This window comes from Homo sapiens, chromosome 13 (assembly GCF_000001405.40).
Source record: "Homo sapiens chromosome 13, GRCh38.p14 Primary Assembly".
Lineage (NCBI taxonomy): Eukaryota > Metazoa > Chordata > Mammalia > Primates > Hominidae > Homo > Homo sapiens.
The window spans coordinates 110,640,094-110,656,874 of record NC_000013.11 but is presented as its reverse complement, the minus strand read 5'-3'; the positions used below and the strand labels follow the sequence as shown (position 1 = coordinate 110,656,874).

General features: G+C 54.3%; 1 protein-coding gene across 12 annotated transcripts in view, besides 3 other annotated features; it reads left to right on the top strand.

The window, feature by feature from the left end:
- Positions 1-15,465, top strand: part of CARS2 (cysteinyl-tRNA synthetase 2, mitochondrial) — a 72,113-nt gene extending 56,648 nt beyond the window's left edge. For 5 of the 12 annotated variants that reach the window (XM_006719953.4, NM_001352252.2, NM_024537.4 and 2 more), the window contains 6 exons: positions 5,775-5,841; positions 9,636-9,774; positions 10,785-10,908; positions 12,392-12,490; positions 14,354-14,560; positions 15,267-15,458. In XM_006719953.4, coding sequence (XP_006720016.1) covers positions 5,775-5,841; positions 9,636-9,774; positions 10,785-10,908; positions 12,392-12,490; positions 14,354-14,560; positions 15,267-15,338 — 708 coding nt within the window. In that variant the 3' untranslated portion in view covers positions 15,339-15,458. The other 7 variants (NR_147941.1, NR_147942.2, XR_001749667.3 and 4 more) reach the window with 7 other exon arrangements.
- Positions 3,355-3,414: a silencer, noted in NCBI's record as "silent region_5508". NCBI's record gives its function as "represses an Ori minimal core promoter by ATAC-STARR-seq in GM12878 lymphoblastoid cells {active_cell/tissue: GM12878}" and the evidence as "EXISTENCE:reporter gene assay evidence [ECO:0000049][PMID:35858748]".
- Positions 3,455-3,544: a silencer, noted in NCBI's record as "silent region_5507". NCBI's record gives its function as "represses an Ori minimal core promoter by ATAC-STARR-seq in GM12878 lymphoblastoid cells {active_cell/tissue: GM12878}" and the evidence as "EXISTENCE:reporter gene assay evidence [ECO:0000049][PMID:35858748]".
- Positions 7,288-7,787: an enhancer, noted in NCBI's record as "H3K4me1 hESC enhancer chr13:111301435-111301934 (GRCh37/hg19 assembly coordinates)". NCBI's record gives its function as "activates a minimal SCP1, AML or CMV promoter by ChIP-STARR-seq in naive H9 embryonic stem cells {active_cell/tissue: H9 hESC(naive)}" and the evidence as "EXISTENCE:reporter gene assay evidence [ECO:0000049][PMID:30033119]".

Below are 16,781 nucleotides of genomic sequence, written 5' to 3'. Positions count from 1 at the left end.
TCTCACTCTGTCGCCCAGGCTGGAGTGCAGTGGCACAATCTTGGCTCACTGCAAGCTCCGCCTTCCGGGTTCACGCCATTCTCCTGCCTCAGCCTCCTGAGTAGCTGGGACTACAGGCGCCCACCACCACGCCTGGCTAATTTTTTGTATTTTTAGTAGAGACGGGGTTTCACCATGTTAGCCAGGATGGTCTTGATCTCCTGACCTTGTGATCCACCTGCCTCGGCCTCCCAAAGTGCTGGGCTTACAGGCGTGAGCCACCACGCCCGGCCTCTAAGAACGTTTTTATCACCCCAAAAAGAAACGCCACATCCATGGGCCATCACTTCTCACTCCCACCTCCTCCCAGCCCCGACAGCCGCTCATCTACTTTCTGTTTCTGTGATTCACCTATTCTGGACTGAAATTTCTTTTTCTCGTGGACTGCACCCCACTAAAGCTCTGTGGTCTGAACATACACTCGCGGCATGTAATGATCTCCTTTCATTAACACAAGAGGTTCATTTGTTCTGTTTGTTTCCAGTGTGGTGGTCTCTCTCTTCCCCTTTTCAATTTACTTTTTGTTTTGTCTTTTTTGAGAGTCTTGCTCTGTCACCCAGGCTGTAGTGCATTAGTGTGATCTCAACTCACTGCAACCTCTGCCTCCCAGGTTCAAGTGATTCTCATGCCTCAGCCTCCCAGGTAGCTGGGATTACAGGCCTACACCACCACACCCAGCTAATTTTTGTATTTTTAGTGGAGATGGGGTTTCACCATGTTGGCCAGGCTGGTCTTGAACTCCTAACCTCAGGTCCACCTGCCTCGGCCTCCCAAAGTGCTGGGATTACAGGCGTGAGCCACTGCATCCAGTCCCAATTTACTTTTATTTGTCATATCTGTGAAACATTTGCAGGGTTCAGCATTAACACTAAAGAGAGCATGGAGAAGGCTGGCCTGGAGCCCGCCTGCACCCATTCCTTCCCCAGCAGCCACAGTTGTGTTCTCTGTTTTGGATTCATCTTCCTGTGTTCCGTTACACACGATAGGCCAATACACATAAACCTTTCTCCTCTGTCTCATTCATGAGGCAGTGTCGTATGCATGCCGCCTCTTCCCTAACAATTTAAGTGAGGTTTTAATTTGATTATAGACATGATGGGTTTAATTTCAGAAAGTTTGAAAACTGCAGACAAGACAGAGAACCACACGGTAGAAAAATTCAAAGGTACTAAGTCTGGAAAGCAGGCCTCCTGCCCGACCACGTTCACTGTTGCCCGGCTTCTCTCCTGAAGCAGCGGTTAGTTTTCTCGGAGCAGGTGTGTGTGTGCACACATCTCCCTATAGCTGTGCTTCTCACTTTCCCTTCACACACAGTCGTGTAGTTTTGCGCTTGCTTGATTAATCTCTTGGCCTCAGTCGGTTTTCTACCATATGGAGTTGGTTCATTCTCTCGAATGGCTGTGTAGTCCAGTGTGTGGGTGCAGCTTAATTAAAGAATCCCCTATTGATGGTCATTTAAATCCTACTGTATTTTCCACTAGGGTATGTGCATTTTCAATTTTCACAGACATTGCCATGTCTGCATTATTTTTAGCAGCCTCTTAGTGGCTCATGGCAGGGAGGCACCGTGATTTTATTTCCCTGTTGTTGGGCTTGTTTGTGAGACCTGTACTCTGCAGGCTGCAGTGCTGTGATGAATATCCTTTAGCTAAATATCTGTGCACATCTAATGATTAGTGACTTGAGAAAAGTGCCTTGAGGTAGAATCGCACATCAGAAGATACGGGCACATTCGGAATGTTTTGGATAGAGCCCCTGGTGACTTTATCAACGAGTGTGATTTACATTCCTACTGGCAGTAGATTAAAATGTCTGTTTCCCAGGTCTCTCCAGCATCAAATTAGAATTTTAATCAGGTTACCTTTTTTCCTTTTTTTCTTTTTCTTTTTTTTTCTTTTTCTTTTTTTTTTTTTTGAGAGAGGGTTTTGCTGTCACCTGGGTACCTGGTGCAGTGGCACCTGGTGCAGTCCTAGCTCACTGCAGCCTGGAACTTGTGGGCTCCGGCAAACCTCCCATTTCAGCCTCCTGAGGAGCTGGGACCACAGGCATGCACTACCACACCTGCTGATTTTGTATTTTTTCTAGAGACGAAGTCTCACTATGTTGCCCAGGCTGGTCTCAAACTCCTGGGCTCAAGCAATCCTCCTGCCTTAGCCTCACAAAGCGCTGGGATTACAGGTGTGACCCACGGCACCTGGCCCATTTTTCTTGTTAATTTGTGAAGAATGGCAACTAGATTTTAAATTTCCATGCGTTTGTCTATTTGCTGTGTTGATTTGTCTATATGTATTTACTGGTGATTTTTCATTTATATTTTTGGTAGCTCGCACCTACCCTAGCCCATAGTTCCTTGGAGATGTTAAGTTATTGCCCTACATCTTAAAAATACTTGCCACATTCCTGGTTTCTAGCATAAGACCCTTTCCCGCCAGTCCTCTTTGTCTTGGAGACCACTGATAGACCTTTATGATAGCCTGGGTGAAAACCCAATGCTTTCTGCGTAATGGAGGCCACAGTCCACGTAGAAAGAGCTCAACCCTGGAGCTCAGATAATGGTTTAAAACCTGCTTTCTAGTTACTGTACGTCTCAAAGCAAGCTAGGGCCTGGCCCAGTAGAGAGGCTCTGGTGCCTGCTTCTGCCCAGGGGCTCCAGGGGTGTGTGCAGCGCTGGCATCATAGGAAGTCCCTCGGCAACTGGCATGTGTACCCAGCGGGCTCCCTGTGAGTGTGCACCCTGTTACCTCGTGAGCTCACTGGGGCTCACATGGCTTGTTACCATCCCCACCTGAAGGCCAATCCGGTCCTCCGGCCTGGGCTCTGGGAGATTGCTTACCTCCTGGAGAGTTCCAGCACGAGCTTACACTGCCGTCGCCACATTTTGCCTCTCAGGGAGCCGTGGCAGGTTGCACGGTGGAACCGGAGTAGTATAGAAACTTGCTGATATCAGCCGGCACAGAGCAGGAACACGCTAAAAAATTAATGTCCGTGTGCACCCACAGTATTCAAGAGTTTTCACATCATTGTCAGAATACTGTGTAATGAAGAAGTTATAATATGTTTCTCCTTTAGTCCGTATAAACTCAATGCTCTAGAAAGATTAGATTCCAGATTTCTATTAGAACTACTACTATAGCTCGCTGCAGTAGCGCCCGCCCCCGCAAGAGCAGGGAAGATAAGCCTTTAATGTTGTTGGGGTTTCAGAGAACTATGAGATGCGTGAAAACACATTGAGGCTAATTCTGCATGCGTTTACATTCTGAGAGGAAAACCCCTTTGAGAGAAAGCCAGGTGAAATCGTTTTTGGAATGAAGTGGGGAGCGTGGAGGCTGCTTGTGGAGTGGTGTTTCCACACCGAAACCCGGAGACCTAAATAGGGCGCAACCTGAACTGAAACCGGCAGGACATGGCTGTGTGCGTTAATTGGAACCACAGCACCTCGGGTGAGGGAGGGTGTCAAGTAAGCCTGCGAGTTGCGAATTAGAGGACCCAGGAGTAATATTCCTTTTTTCACAATTTGGGAAGGAGCACCCGGGAGATGGACAGACGGAAATGGAATTCCAGTGTGATTACTGATGAACTACTGTTGGATTGGACAGGGGCTCTTCACACACACACACACAAACACACACACACACATACCCCAGCCCCCCTCCCCACCCCAGGCCCCTGTGGCAGCCTGGTGAAGTCTGTGGACCCAGCCTTACAATTTGCTTTAAATACGTAAAATAAAATACATAGGATCCCAAAGGCCGTTGATGATACTGAAGTAGAGGAGCGGGGGCTCTGCTTGACTCAGCGGTTAGCTCAGCGTGGGTGGGGTCTGATGGCTGCCATCCTCTCGTGTGAGTTGTGGTGTGTGATGTCATCCCTGTGGGGTCACCTGTGGCAGCTGTGGCCACCATGCCAGGCTCTGTGCTTCCAGATGCGTTTGCTGCCTACACTGACCATCGAAGGAAATACCCATTTCGGTGCAAGGCTGGCAGAAATAAACACATAACTGTTGAACCATCCCAGTTCACAGATCTCCCCGCCCTCCCACCTTCTCTCTGTGGGCCCCTAGGAGGTCTGTGGACCCCAGGTTGAGCACCCCTGTGTTAGGGCATTGGCCCAGCAGCTTTCTGATTAACGCCACCCCACATGAGAATGCCCCTCACTGCCTCAGGCACAGGCAGACAGGAGTTGGGCTGTGGGGTGGGGGCTGAGCTCCTTCCTGGTAGAAGACAGACCAGACCTGCTCCATCCTCTGAAGGGACTGAGCCCTGGAGGCAGGTGGAGCAGTGTCCTCCTCCTTCCAGCTCAGCAGTCCAGGGAGCCCCCTCCTTTCTACTGGGTGGGCGAGGCCGCTGAAGCCTGAAGCAGGGACAGCCCCTTCTACCCCAAGACGCTCTTCAGTTGTGTGTGTTTTGCTCTCAGTAGGGTTGTTGAGCAGCACGGCCTTAGACTGGTCTTTTATGCCTCATAAAATACCATGTGTTGTGATGCAGTATTTTGAGCTGGACTCCGCCGTTTCCGGCTCACTCTCCCTGGCAGCTCTGTGCTCCCACGACCACCCTGCAGAGGAAGTGGGTATCTGAGCTCTGATGAGCGGGTGCAGACTGTGGGTTGGTGTCAGCCCCTGTGCTCTGGGCTTGTGTTGCTGCCCATCAGCCTAGAGAAGAGGGTATCGGGTTTACCCGAGGGAGACGGAAACGCAATTCTCACTCCAGCAAGGTCAGCGACAGCTTCCTGCGCAGTGGACAGGCATGGGGTGAGCCAGTTCTGTCTTCTGAGGTGGTGGCAGGAAAGGGGGCTTTGGTCAGAGCCGGCACCATGTGCTGCAGATCCAGGCAAGGAGCCACTCGGGCTCCCGTCGGAGCGCGTCCCTGGCCAGGGGTGCAGTCGGAGCTCGGCTTTCTTTCTTGGGGCCACAGTGGAAGCCCAAGCTGGGCAGAGCCCTCTTCCTTCTCTCCCCCACTCATCTCATCTCTTAAAAGTAGCTGCCAGAGCTGAACCCTGAGCGCCCCACAGGAGGTTTTGCTGAGGGCTGAGCTGCTTTTGCAGTGCCTCTAATGACCTCTTCTAAGCTTCCTCATGTAGAAAGCTCCACTTCTTTCTGGACAGACGTTTTCTAATTGATCTATAGGAGGATACCGGTTGGGTTCTGAGTTTTACTTAGGTTTAACCAGAAGCTGGGTGGTTTAGTCTTCAAGAGACAGACTTAGCGCATGCTTTAGCCCAGTGTTTACAAGAACTGTGCCACCAAATAGGATGAGTGAGGCTGTCGCCCCTTGGCTGGGCTGAGCTGGAGGTCAGCCGGGTCTGACGTTCACCGCAAGCTTCTCCTGGGGGTTGCAGGCAGGCCAGAGCTGGTGTGCCTCCCGCCACCTACCTGGTCTCTTCCTGAGCACAGCATCGCTCCATGCTGTCTGTCCCACGTCCCTGTCGTGCAGAAAGAGAGCCCAGGCTGAGCACAGGACACACTCCTCCTGGAGCCTGCGCAGGTGCGGATTTTCAGTGCAAACCGGCTTTCTCTTCTTGCTCTTTCCACAAATACTGAGATCGAACGTGGAAAGTTCAGTGAGGAAATCACCAGGAAACAGGTGGTAATTGTGAGTTTGGAGGGCTCATTTTCATCAAGGTTCCTGATTTCTTGATAGGTAGAGATAACTTATGTAATTGTAGAAAGTAACATATTCTCTGAACAGTGCGAAGCGTAAAAGCAAAGCCTCGTGACTGCCTGTCTCTCGCTTTACCAGGACTTTCTGAAGACCTTTTCCCCCGATGTCTTCCGGTTCTTCTGCCTGCGGAGCAGCTACCGCTCAGGTGAGCCGAGCACACGTGGAGTGGACTCCCCCCCCAGCTCGGAGACAGTCATTCTGACAGGACTGAAAACAGCAAAATGCAGGCCAGAGAATAAGCAGAACCTTGTTGAGTGAGGCTGCTGTGTGCCTTACGGTTCGGGTTGAGAGTGAACCCAGAGGACGAGGGATCCCAGTGCTGGTCTGGGCCCGGCCCACAGTGGATGTGGGCTTCCTCGTCAAGCTCGAGTCCTCTCCACTCCTTCTCTCTGGGTCTGGACAAGTCGTGAACCCGCAGCACCTCGGCTTCCTGCTGTGTGAACTGGGAGATTGGAAGGGGCCAGCCTGGCACGGCCCCTGAACATGGGAGCCCTCAAACGTGACCCTGCCTGTCCTGCCCAGGGGCAGCACTTCCCCGAACGGTGTGTAGCAGAGCAAGGTCTCCTGGATGGGTGATGACGGTTCCTCCCATGCTGCACAGTTACCTGCTGCCCCGGGCTAGGCTCTTGGCCAGGAGTTGTCTAGCACTGGCCTGGCATGGTGGCTCACGTGTATGATCCCAGCACTTTGGGAGGCCGAGGCTGGCAGATGTTTTGAGTCCAGGAGTTTGAGACCCGCCTGGGCAACATAGTGAGATCTTATCTCTACAAAAAATACAAAAGGCCTGGCACGATGGCTCACACCTGTAATCTCAACACTTTGGGAGGCTGAGGCAGGTGGATCACTTGAGGTCAGGAGTTCGAGACCAGTTTGGCCAACGTGGTAAAACCCCATCTCTCCTAAAAATACAAAAATTAGCCAGGCATGGCGATGTGTGCCTGTAATCCCAGCTACTCAGGAGGGTGAAGCAGGAGAATTGCTTGAACCTGGGAGGCAGAGGCTGCAGTGAGCCATGATCATGCCACTGCTCTCTAGCCTGGGTGGCTGAGCAAGACTCCATCTGAAAAAAATACAAAAAAATTGGCTTGGTGGCATGCACCTGTAATCTCAGCTACTCAGGAGGCTGAGGCAGGAGAATCACTTCAACCCAGGAGGCGGAGGTGCAGTGAGCTGAGATCGCACCACTGCACTCCAGCCTGGGTAACAGAGCAAGACCCTGTCTCAAAAAAAAAAAAAAAAAAAAAAAAGTCGTTATCCAGAGCTGCATCCCTGGTGGCAAGTGAGGGCTGGGGACAGTGATACTGCCCTGCCTGGCTTGACCACCTAACTGGCAATAAGGTCCCAGTGTATGGCTAGTGCTGCAGGAGCAGGGCCAGTGTCCTCTGGAGATGGTGACAGTTCCTTCCTGGTGAGCGAGGGTTGCTGTCCTTCTGGCCTCTGGTGTCCCCTCTGCTCCATTGACACTGCCGAGGCCCTGGGTCGCTGCTGTTGTCATGCCACCTCCCTCTCCCCCTTCTTGTCCCTCCTACGTAGCTCTCTTGCTCCAAATTGATGATTTCACCTTTTTAATGAAGACGATGGGAGTGGGGACATGCAGCCGAAACATAGTTTATTCTCATTCCCCCATGGGGTGAATCTATCTGGCCAGCACACTTTATGTCACACACAAAGCTTTGGTGGGTTTGGGTGAGCCCCTGGGCTGGTCCCCTATCCATCTCCCTCCCCTGTGCTGTGCCTGCAGAATTTCACCCGGCCTGCAGCTCCTGTCAGCGTGAGAGGGGCACACAGACACCTGCACCTTTGACCACCGAAAGGCTACCTTGGGCCATGTCTTTATCCTGGCTCTGACGCCACGTCGTTGGCTTTCTACTGCAAACTCAGGTTTTCTGAGACGTGGTCTGAACCTCTCCCCTGGGTGGAACTGCAGTGCATCGGCCCAGGGGACCTGCGCTCACGGGCGCACGAGCTTGAGAAAGAAGTGTGGCCAGCCTCGTGCTCGCCTGGCCTCGTGCAGCATCTGTGTGTGGTGTGCACTTACGCGTGATGAAAGCAGCCCAGCCGTGCCGTGAGAGGAAGAGTCGGGGAGGCGAATGGGCTGGAGAAACTGTTTCCGCCTGGCTCCGTGTTGCTGGAAACGGGCAGAGGCGGCGGAGATGAATCCCGTGTGCGAGCGCAGAGCTCTCTTCCCGGCTCGTGCTTGCTCCCCTCGTGGCTGGGGGCTGTGGTCCTTTCAAAGCTGTTCCCTGCGGATCCCTTCCCAGGGGCACTTTGCCCTCGGAAGCCCCGCCTCCCTTCTCGCAGATTGTGGCAGGATTAGGGGCAGCATCTTGTATGACTGTCCTAATTGTGTGCAGTTCTTTTTGAGCTTTGAATACGAAGTTTGGTCTGAAAAGAGGCTTTCTCAAGCCTGGGCAGCTCTTTCAGGAACACATTCCCAGTGGGAATTTTGGGTGGGATTCAGGAGGCACCGATCTGCCAGTGAGGGATTTCTAGGAACACAAGGTTAGTCAGGACGTGGATCCCCACAGTGGACACGACTGCCCCACCCCGCCGAGGTCGGAGGTGGCCTTGAGGAGCTGGGCCGTCGCTTGCTGTCTGAGCTTCCATCCACGAATGGTGTGGGAGTTCGGGATCTTCCCAGACATTCTTTCTTCACCTTTGGGAAGATGGAGGGGGACGGTGGTGGCATCCCTTGCAGTCTGTGCTGCGCTGACACTTTGGAGAAGTGTCTCCCATCTGTAGAGCAGAATCCTCTTTGGAGAAATGCAGCTGTCCTTGACCTTGAGGCAGAAGGCGTCTCCATCCTGGGCATCTGTCTGCCCCTCCCCATCTGGATGCCTCATCTTGCTGTGTCATTAATGGTAATCTTATTCTAACAGCCTCCCATGCATCAACTCTATCAGTCCCCGAATATTATCTTTAAATTTTGTCAGATCGCTTTGTGGGTTTCTGGCTTTTTCTCTTTTCTATCAAGCTATTCAAAGCAAAAACTGAAAGTGAATTTAGAAAAAAAGGAAAAATGTTAAGTAAGATATTAGACAGCCCTGGGGGAGGTTTTCACTGTGTTGCTTCCAGCTTGAAGCCATGTCTGATTTTGGAATTCTCGTTTTGAAGTCAGGACTTGGAGGCATGTTGAGATGTAATTTTCAGCATATGTGTCCAGATAGGCTCTTTTTATTCTTGTGGTTTTCAAAGAGCTGTTTAAAGCAGCACTCCTCAAAAGCATGGACTGTGGACTCAGACAGCCTGGGAAACAGAGTAGGCACGAGAAGGTTCTAGAAATATGTGGCTGGCTTTGCTGATATCCAAGGATATGTGATCATTGCAAAGCGATTCACTCCTGTTGTCTTACCCATCAGAATGCAGTAGACTAGAAACCACAAGAAATGAACAGATGTAAACAGAAACACTGGCCCCTCATCCAGGTGGCCTAAGAAACACCCACAGACTCTAAAGCCAGGTCTGGGGACTGCTCCTCCCTCCCTCTTTGGGCTGTCCCATCACACACAGGCACTTTCCCTCGGGAGGGCCTTCCCTAGAGGTGCCTCTGACCCCAGGGCGGGGCTCCCTCTTTCCAGAGCTAGCCATTCATCCGCACCTCCATCCATCCAGGGCGGGGCTCCTTCTTTCCAGAGCCAGCCATTCATCCGCACCTCCATCCAGTCAGTGGAAATGCACCTCTTGGCTGGAAGCACTGGGAGCATGTCTCCACCGCCACCTTGTTCTCCCACGGCAGGTGCCACTGAGCTGGGACAGACCCTGTGGTCTGTGTCCAGTGGGCCTAGGGACTCGCGGTCACTGGAGGGCGTGAGAGCCACATGTCCCGCTCTCCGTGTGGTCCCTGGGTGGCAGTGCCCTCAGAAAACACTGATTCTGCTGGACCAGGGCAGGGGCACAGCATGGTGGGCACCGCCTCAGTGACCATCTCTTCCTCCTCAGCCATCGACTACAGTGACAGCGCCATGCTCCAAGCTCAGCAGCTGCTCCTGGGGCTGGGCTCTTTCCTGGAGGACGCACGTGCCTACATGAAGGGGCAGCTGGCCTGCGGCTCCGTCAGGGAAGCGATGCTGTGGGAGAGGTAAGAGGCCCGCCTAGCACCCGGCGTGGCACCCCTCCTGTGGCCTGCTGGGTGCTGCTGGTGGGCTCTTGAAGGGGAAGAGGGGCCCCCAGGAGACAGGGCGCTGGACAGGAGGTTTGGGGTCAGGGACTGCCCAGAGAGGCCCCAGGAGACAGGGTGCTGGGCAGGAGGTGCAGGTGTGGGGTCAGGGGCTCCCCAGAGGCCACAGGGGACTGGGAGCTGGACAGGAGGTGTGGGGTCAGGGGCTCCCCAGAGGCCACAGGACACTGGGTGCTGGACAGGAGGTGTGGGGTCAGGGGCTCCCGAGACATCCCAGGGAGACGGCGCTGGCAGGAAGTGTGCCTGGGGCCCTCGGGCTCTGAGCCCCCTGCTCAGAGTGGCTTTGGGCTCGGGTTCCCTGTGCGAGGAGCGGAGCTGCTCATCCCTCCCAGTCCTGACTGTGAGGAGCCAAAATCTATAAAACACACAGGCCTGGGCCCACAGCATCGCCTCCACTCCCCACCCACGGGTGTCCTGGGCAGCGCTGCACATTCATCCCGGCATGCAGAGTCTTCCGGATGGTCTTGGTGATAACCCACCCCTGCCACTTCAGCAGGGTAGGCAGCCAGTGGCCACGGGAGGCTGAGATCCGGGAGCCCCGGGCTGGGCCTCCCCAGCCTCTCTTTGTGAGTGGTCAGCCGTGCCGTCTCTCCCCCACCGAGTCTTCCTTGCCACTCCCCTCAATATCTATTGATTTTTAAAACCATCATGAAAATGCCCACGTGTGTCTTGTATTTTAAGTGTCACAGGTGACCTCTGCTCTGGGACTTTTTCTTGGGGTAACATGACAGTTTGCAGTTGATGTTACATAATTTTCTGCTACTCAGGAACTCAAGTCTTTGGGAATATGACCTAGAGAAAGTCCCCAGATTAGAGCCCCCAGCGTCTCTCCCTGGGGAAGGACTGGTGTGGGGGCCGCCTGGGGAGAGTGGAGCTCCCTCTGCTGTGACTGTTCTCTCCTCTTCCCTCAGGCTCTCCAGCACCAAGAGGGCCGTGAAGGCGGCCTTGGCAGATGATTTTGACACACCCAGGGTGGTTGATGCCATCCTGGGCCTTGCACACCACGGGAATGGACAGCTCAGGGCGTCCCTGAAGGTAGCTCAACGAACAGGTGGCCTTGCGGTCCTGCTGCCAGGGGCATGGGTCGGGTCCTCTGGTGGGTTTTTCTCATGTCGGCTGGGTGGCATCTCTGCTGATTTCGCCTCCCGCAGCTTCTGTGGAGGAACTCATGGAGCCCGAGTCTGCCGCTGACACACGGGATGGCACCCAGCCTGGGGCTTGACCCTCCCGGGCCTCAGGGCCACCTGGGGAACAAGCTCTCAGGAGCCCCTGAGGCTGAGAAATTCTGTGTGCTTGATCCTCAGGGGACACATCTCATGTCCCCACTGCATTCATGGCCCTTTCACAGAGAGAGCTTTTGTGGGGAACTTTTTAAGGAAAGACCCATTTACCCCAAGGCACTGTTATGCAATCTGCACCCCAGTGTGATGACCACACCAAGCACCCAGGGGTCTGAGCCTGGACTCGTGGGTCACTGCAAGTGTTTGGCAGGTGGGACAAAGACCGTGAAGGCGGCGGCAGGCTTTGGTTCCTGCACGTCTGAGGGTCCCCTGCCAGGCCCTGGGAGGCGCTGCGTCAGGAGCCCCGTGACCTTTGATGACCCGGGAAGCCGAGGCTGTTTGTGCCTCTCCCACCTCTGGAAACACCTGGGGGTTCTGGCCACATGCTCTGTTAGTTGAGCATCTCTGTGGAGGTCTCCATCCCTGGCTGCGTGCAGTGTTGGGTTTCAGAGCACCAGCAGGTGGGGCAGGGTGCCATGTGCCCTTGCCGGGTGCCTTCGGTCCAAATACTGCAGACGCGCAGGGCTCGCCTCTGAGGGGGGCGGGCATTTGAGTCACAGCCGGCTGCAGGAACAGGCTGCCCCGCACTGAAGGCAGCCAGGCCGGGCTGGGGCAGGTCCCGCAGCCAGGCTGCTCCTGCACGGGAGCTCCTCCTCCTCAGCCCGTCCGCGGCCTCCTGCCTTCACCGCAGCTGCTGCCGGCACTACCAGGCTGGCCCAGCTCTAGGGCAACAGGGGCCTCTTGTGGCAAGGGGCGGGACAAGTAAAGAGGCTGGCTTTTGTCCTGCGCTTTTCCTTCCCAAGCTTTGCAATTCTGGGGCACCTGCAAACTAAGGCTAGTGTCACCCAAGGGTCTCTGTGCTTGGTAACTGATGTGAGCCACGTACCAGGATTTCCCCGTTTTCTGAGAAACCCAGCCCAGTGCCCACTCAGCCTCCACCTACCATGCGCCACCTGCCATACTCCACGGTCATGCTTCACCCGCGAAGCCTGATGAGCTAGTCACCACCCACATGACTGATGGGTAAACTGAGGCACAAGAGATTCCTCATGCACCTATAGTTGTATGGTCTGCAGTGAGGTAGCCGATGCCAGAGCTGTGTCCTCCCTCCATAGAAGCCAGGAGAAAGGCCAGACTGAAGTGACCTGCTGAAGCCTTTGTCTTTTGACATTGAATTCCGTTTGCCCACTGCCATCAAGACTGCTTTTAAGGAGCTTCTGCGACATGATCTCTTACAGGAACCTGAAGGGCCGAGAAGTCCTGCTGTGTTTGGTGCCATCATCTCTTACTTTGAACAGTTTTTTGAAACTGTTGGAATTTCTCTGGCAAATCAACAGGTAGGTCCTATTATTTTAAATGCTTAATTCTGGAATTTTCTCCATGTTGGGACAATAACCTTTACCCTTTTAACTTGGAATAGAGCATTATGATGCCACACTAATGTATTTACCTGTTTAAAAACATGTTACTTTCCTGGAAAAATAAACACACTCAGAGCCAATACTTATTAATTGGAATTGCACAATTCTACTTCTGCAGTTGGCAAACTCTCGTGCGCAGAACCAGAGATGAGTCCATCTCAGCAACAGAATGTCGCCAGCTCTGCACACACGTTTATGTTCAAAGACTCTCAGAATGTGCAGAAGTCACAGGCACAGTAAGAGAACATTTTTTCCTGACCCATTTGAGGGCAAGTTGGCGACCTGAGCCCCCTTGCCTGGCACATGTTTTGTACGGACAGGACGGGCTCCCCGACAGGCACGAGTCACCTGCACCTTCCCAGCGAGGCTCACCCTGGCTGTGCAGTGAAGGTGGACGCTGCCAGGCTTCTCCACATTCCTTCTCTTCCGTTGTAACTCAAGAGCATTTTTGCAAAGAGACTTGGATCCTATGAAAATGTCCTCTTCCTTATCAGGCTCACCTGAAACTCGTTTATTCTATCAATACAGATTTGAGGTTTCCTGCCTTATTCTTAAAGTCCCCACCATCACTTTGTATGTGGCTGACAGAGGCCCCTTGGGGCTGGCGCTGTGTCCCTGAACATCCCTGTCATTCTTTGGACACCCTTGTAGAATTCTCAGCACAAGGCGCTCTGGCTCTTTTGGGGTGTGGCTCGGCTGCTGCTGCCTGGACGGGGGCTGCCACTCTAGACCAGCTGCCCAGCACCCCGAGGGTCCCGCCGCTTGGGACTGGGGCCCAAGCAGGTGTGCTGAAGGCCTGGCTCTGGGCCAAACATGTCTCGCTGGCTCTCAACAGAGAACTATAGTGTCTTTTCCAAGTTTGGCTCATTTGTATACCTGTTGATCACCTGGTAGACTTAGTTCCCCTTTCCAGCAGTCCGGCGTCTGTTGCCAATCACATAAAAGTCGACTGGTGTGAGATGACCCAAGTTTTTGCAATGTACATGTTCATTTTTAGGGGTGGCTTTCCGGAGTCTGTTTTGAGTAAGAAAAGTGGGATCTGGCCAAGCTCTGCCTAGCCCTTGTCAAAGATATCTCATTCACCTTCCTCTGGCCGCAAGGCCCAATGTCTGGGCCCACTCTGGGCTCATATTTCTGTAATAACAAAAACTGTCTTTTATCATGGAAGCAATAACTGAGGGGTGTGTGAGGTTTAAGTAGTTTGACACCAAGGTCAAATGTTGTGTCTGTTTCTTATTTTACACACATGGATTTAACAAATAGGTACAGCTGCCCCTTCCACACCGCCCCAGGATCTGTTCTCAGTGGGAGGACAGCGCGAGGCCTTCTGCGCAAATCCCGTCCTCAGCACCTGAGGCTGTGAATCTCAGACCATTTGCCGAAACACACGTGTGCAAGCGCTCAGTCGCTGCCCCCCAGCCTCATCCTCAGGTTGCTCCTGATACCTCGGCCACAATTGCGTGAGGTCTGGAAGCCAGGGAGCGTTTGTGTTCAGGGCGGGGCGGCATGCAGCCCCCAGCCCTTTCTTCCAACTCCCGAGTGAGGATCACTCAGCCTTGCTTGGACGACAGATGCTCAGAGTTGAGTGGAGCCTTGCCCAGAGCCCAGCGCTCGCGGGCTGTACCCATCCCTGCCAGACCCAGAAAGAGGCCCAGCTGCAGGGAATCAGGGAAGCCCAGGGCTGGGTGGGTGTCGGCCCAGAGCCCAACCACGGGGTGGGGAGGGGGCATCCACAATCCACAGTCTCCGGGGGACGTAACCGCGCCCTGCTGGCTTCAGTACGTTTCAGGAGACGGCAGCGAGGCTACCTTGCATGGTGTGGTGGACGAGCTGGTGCGGTTCCGGCAGAAGGTCCGGCAGTTTGCGCTGGCCATGCCCGAGGCCACGGGGGACGCCCGGCGGCAGCAGCTCCTAGAAAGGCAGCCCCTGCTGGAAGCATGCGACACCCTGCGCCGGGGCCTGACTGCCCACGGCATCAACATCAAGGTGAGTGCCGCACCAAGGTCAGGGACATCACCCCAGGAGCCGGGTAGGTCAACAGGACGTGGGGCCATCAGAGGCCCAGACATCCCCCGTGACCATGCTTTTTTTTTGAGACGGAGTTTCACTCTTGTCACCCAGGCTGGAGTGCAATGGCGTGATCTCGGCTCACCACAACCTCTGCCTCTGCCTCCCAGGTTCAAGCGATTCTCCTGCCTCAGCCTCCTGAGTAGCTAGGATTACAGGCATGCACTCCCATGCTCGGCTGATTTTTTATTTTTAGTAGAGACAGGTTTTCTCCACGTGGGTCAGGCTGGTCTCAAACTCCCGACCTCAGGTGATCCTCCCACCTCAGCCTCCCAAAGTGCCAGGATTACAGGCGTGAGCCACTGCGCCCTGCCCATGCTTCTGAGTAGAGAAACCCACCCCCATAAAAAATGAGGTGGGAGGGCCGTGAGGGAGGGGCCAAGTTGGCTGCAGGGGACGCTGAGCACGGGGACGTGGGTCCTGCTCAGCCCCCGCCACCTCCTGCAGGTGCCTTGAAGCTCCTGGCCTTCTGCTGGAGGTAGTGGGGCCCTTTCTAAGCGCCTGGCAAGCTTTTTAGGACAGGCCGGTGAGGGAACAGGCACCCTGAACCTGATTACGCCTGTCAGCCCCCTGTGCCACATGACGTGGTGTCTGCTCAGAGTTGGACCTCACTCTTCTTCTCCAGGACAGAAGCAGTACAACATCCACGTGGGAACTGCTGGATCAAAGGACAAAAGACCAAAAATCAGCGGGCTGAGGATGGAGCACAGCCATGAACCTGCTCACGACAAGACGCACCCATGCTTCTCAGGGTCAAGGCTTTATGTTAAAGCTTCCTGTCGGGGCTGCTAGGTCAGCATTAAAGTAAGGCAACCAACAGTGTCCCACTGGCGTCTGTTTGTTAGTAACTGAGCCTAAACACTCACTGCGTTCTGTGGCTACAGACTCACCGTCGATTGAGTGAAGTAGTGTCAGACATTCAGTAGCATCCAGCAGCACACGTGCCTGTGCGTGAGACCTGCTGGCCCTGTGCCCAGGGAACAGACAACACAGCCAACAGAAGAGCAGGGACCCCGGGAGGCGGCAGAATGCAGCCTGTTTCCTCCTGAGGGAGGGGCTGGGGATGGGTGAGGTGGGTGGGCCACGCAGCATAGTCTGAAGCAGAGGTGGGACGCCAGCAATGCTAACCCCGGGACACCTCCCCCAGCAAGAACACAATCTTACGTTTTCTCTCTGGTTACAAAAGTAACGTATTCAGCATAGGAAAAATGCAGCTGAGAACCCGTCTGCAGTCCCGCTGCAGTTAACATCCTGGCAGCTGCAGGCCATCTTGGTGGTCATGGTCTGTGCAGAGCAGTGATGGGGTCGAGCTGGGCCTGGGAAAGGTTGGTTCCGGAGGAGTCAGGGCAGCCAGGCTGAAAGCCAGCTGGCGAGCTGTGACAGACAGGATTCCTGAGCGGGAGGTGGCGGCCAGCACACGGCAGGCTGCCTGGGCTACAGGACCGGTGGCCTCCTGAAGCACCCACCTTGCTCCTGATCTCACCCTTCTGTGGTAAGCCCAGCGCCACAGCTGTCAGTGACTCAGCAGGGTGACCCCTCTCCACTCTTCCTGCTCGCAGACCCTGGGCCAGGCCTCTCCCTGTCACACTGGCATCTCTGAATCCCAAGGGCACAGGCAGCAGCGGGACCCGTGACTGGGGATACGGGCTTGCTCATCATTTAACCGTGACCCTGAGGTACAGGTCTCCTGTCTACAGTTCAGAAGTCACTCACCTAGAAAATCACCCTAGTAAAGCTACCCACATAGAAAAAGTCCCCAGAGGGCTCCTTACAATGAGGCATCTCGACAGGGCTGCTCAGTACTGGGGCATTACGGGCCGCCCACCCCCCCACACTTTCCCGTTGCTCTCCTGGTCCAGGGAAGCTCCTGGGAGCGTGTCCGGCTGGAGCGAGTGCGTGAAATACGTGGGTTTGAGAAAGAACATGGAAGCAATGAGCTGCTTGTAAAAAAACCCATTCTCTCCTTTAAGCAAAGGGATGTTTTACTTAGAACAAAAACCAGACGAATAGTTCCTGTGACTGCTGAATTCTATTTCCTAAGGAAAGAAGGGGCTGCCTTGGGCTTATCCTTCAAGGTGCTTTATTGCAGCCACCACGGGAGAGGCGCTGGCGAGGAGGCCAATCTCACACAGACAGGCTT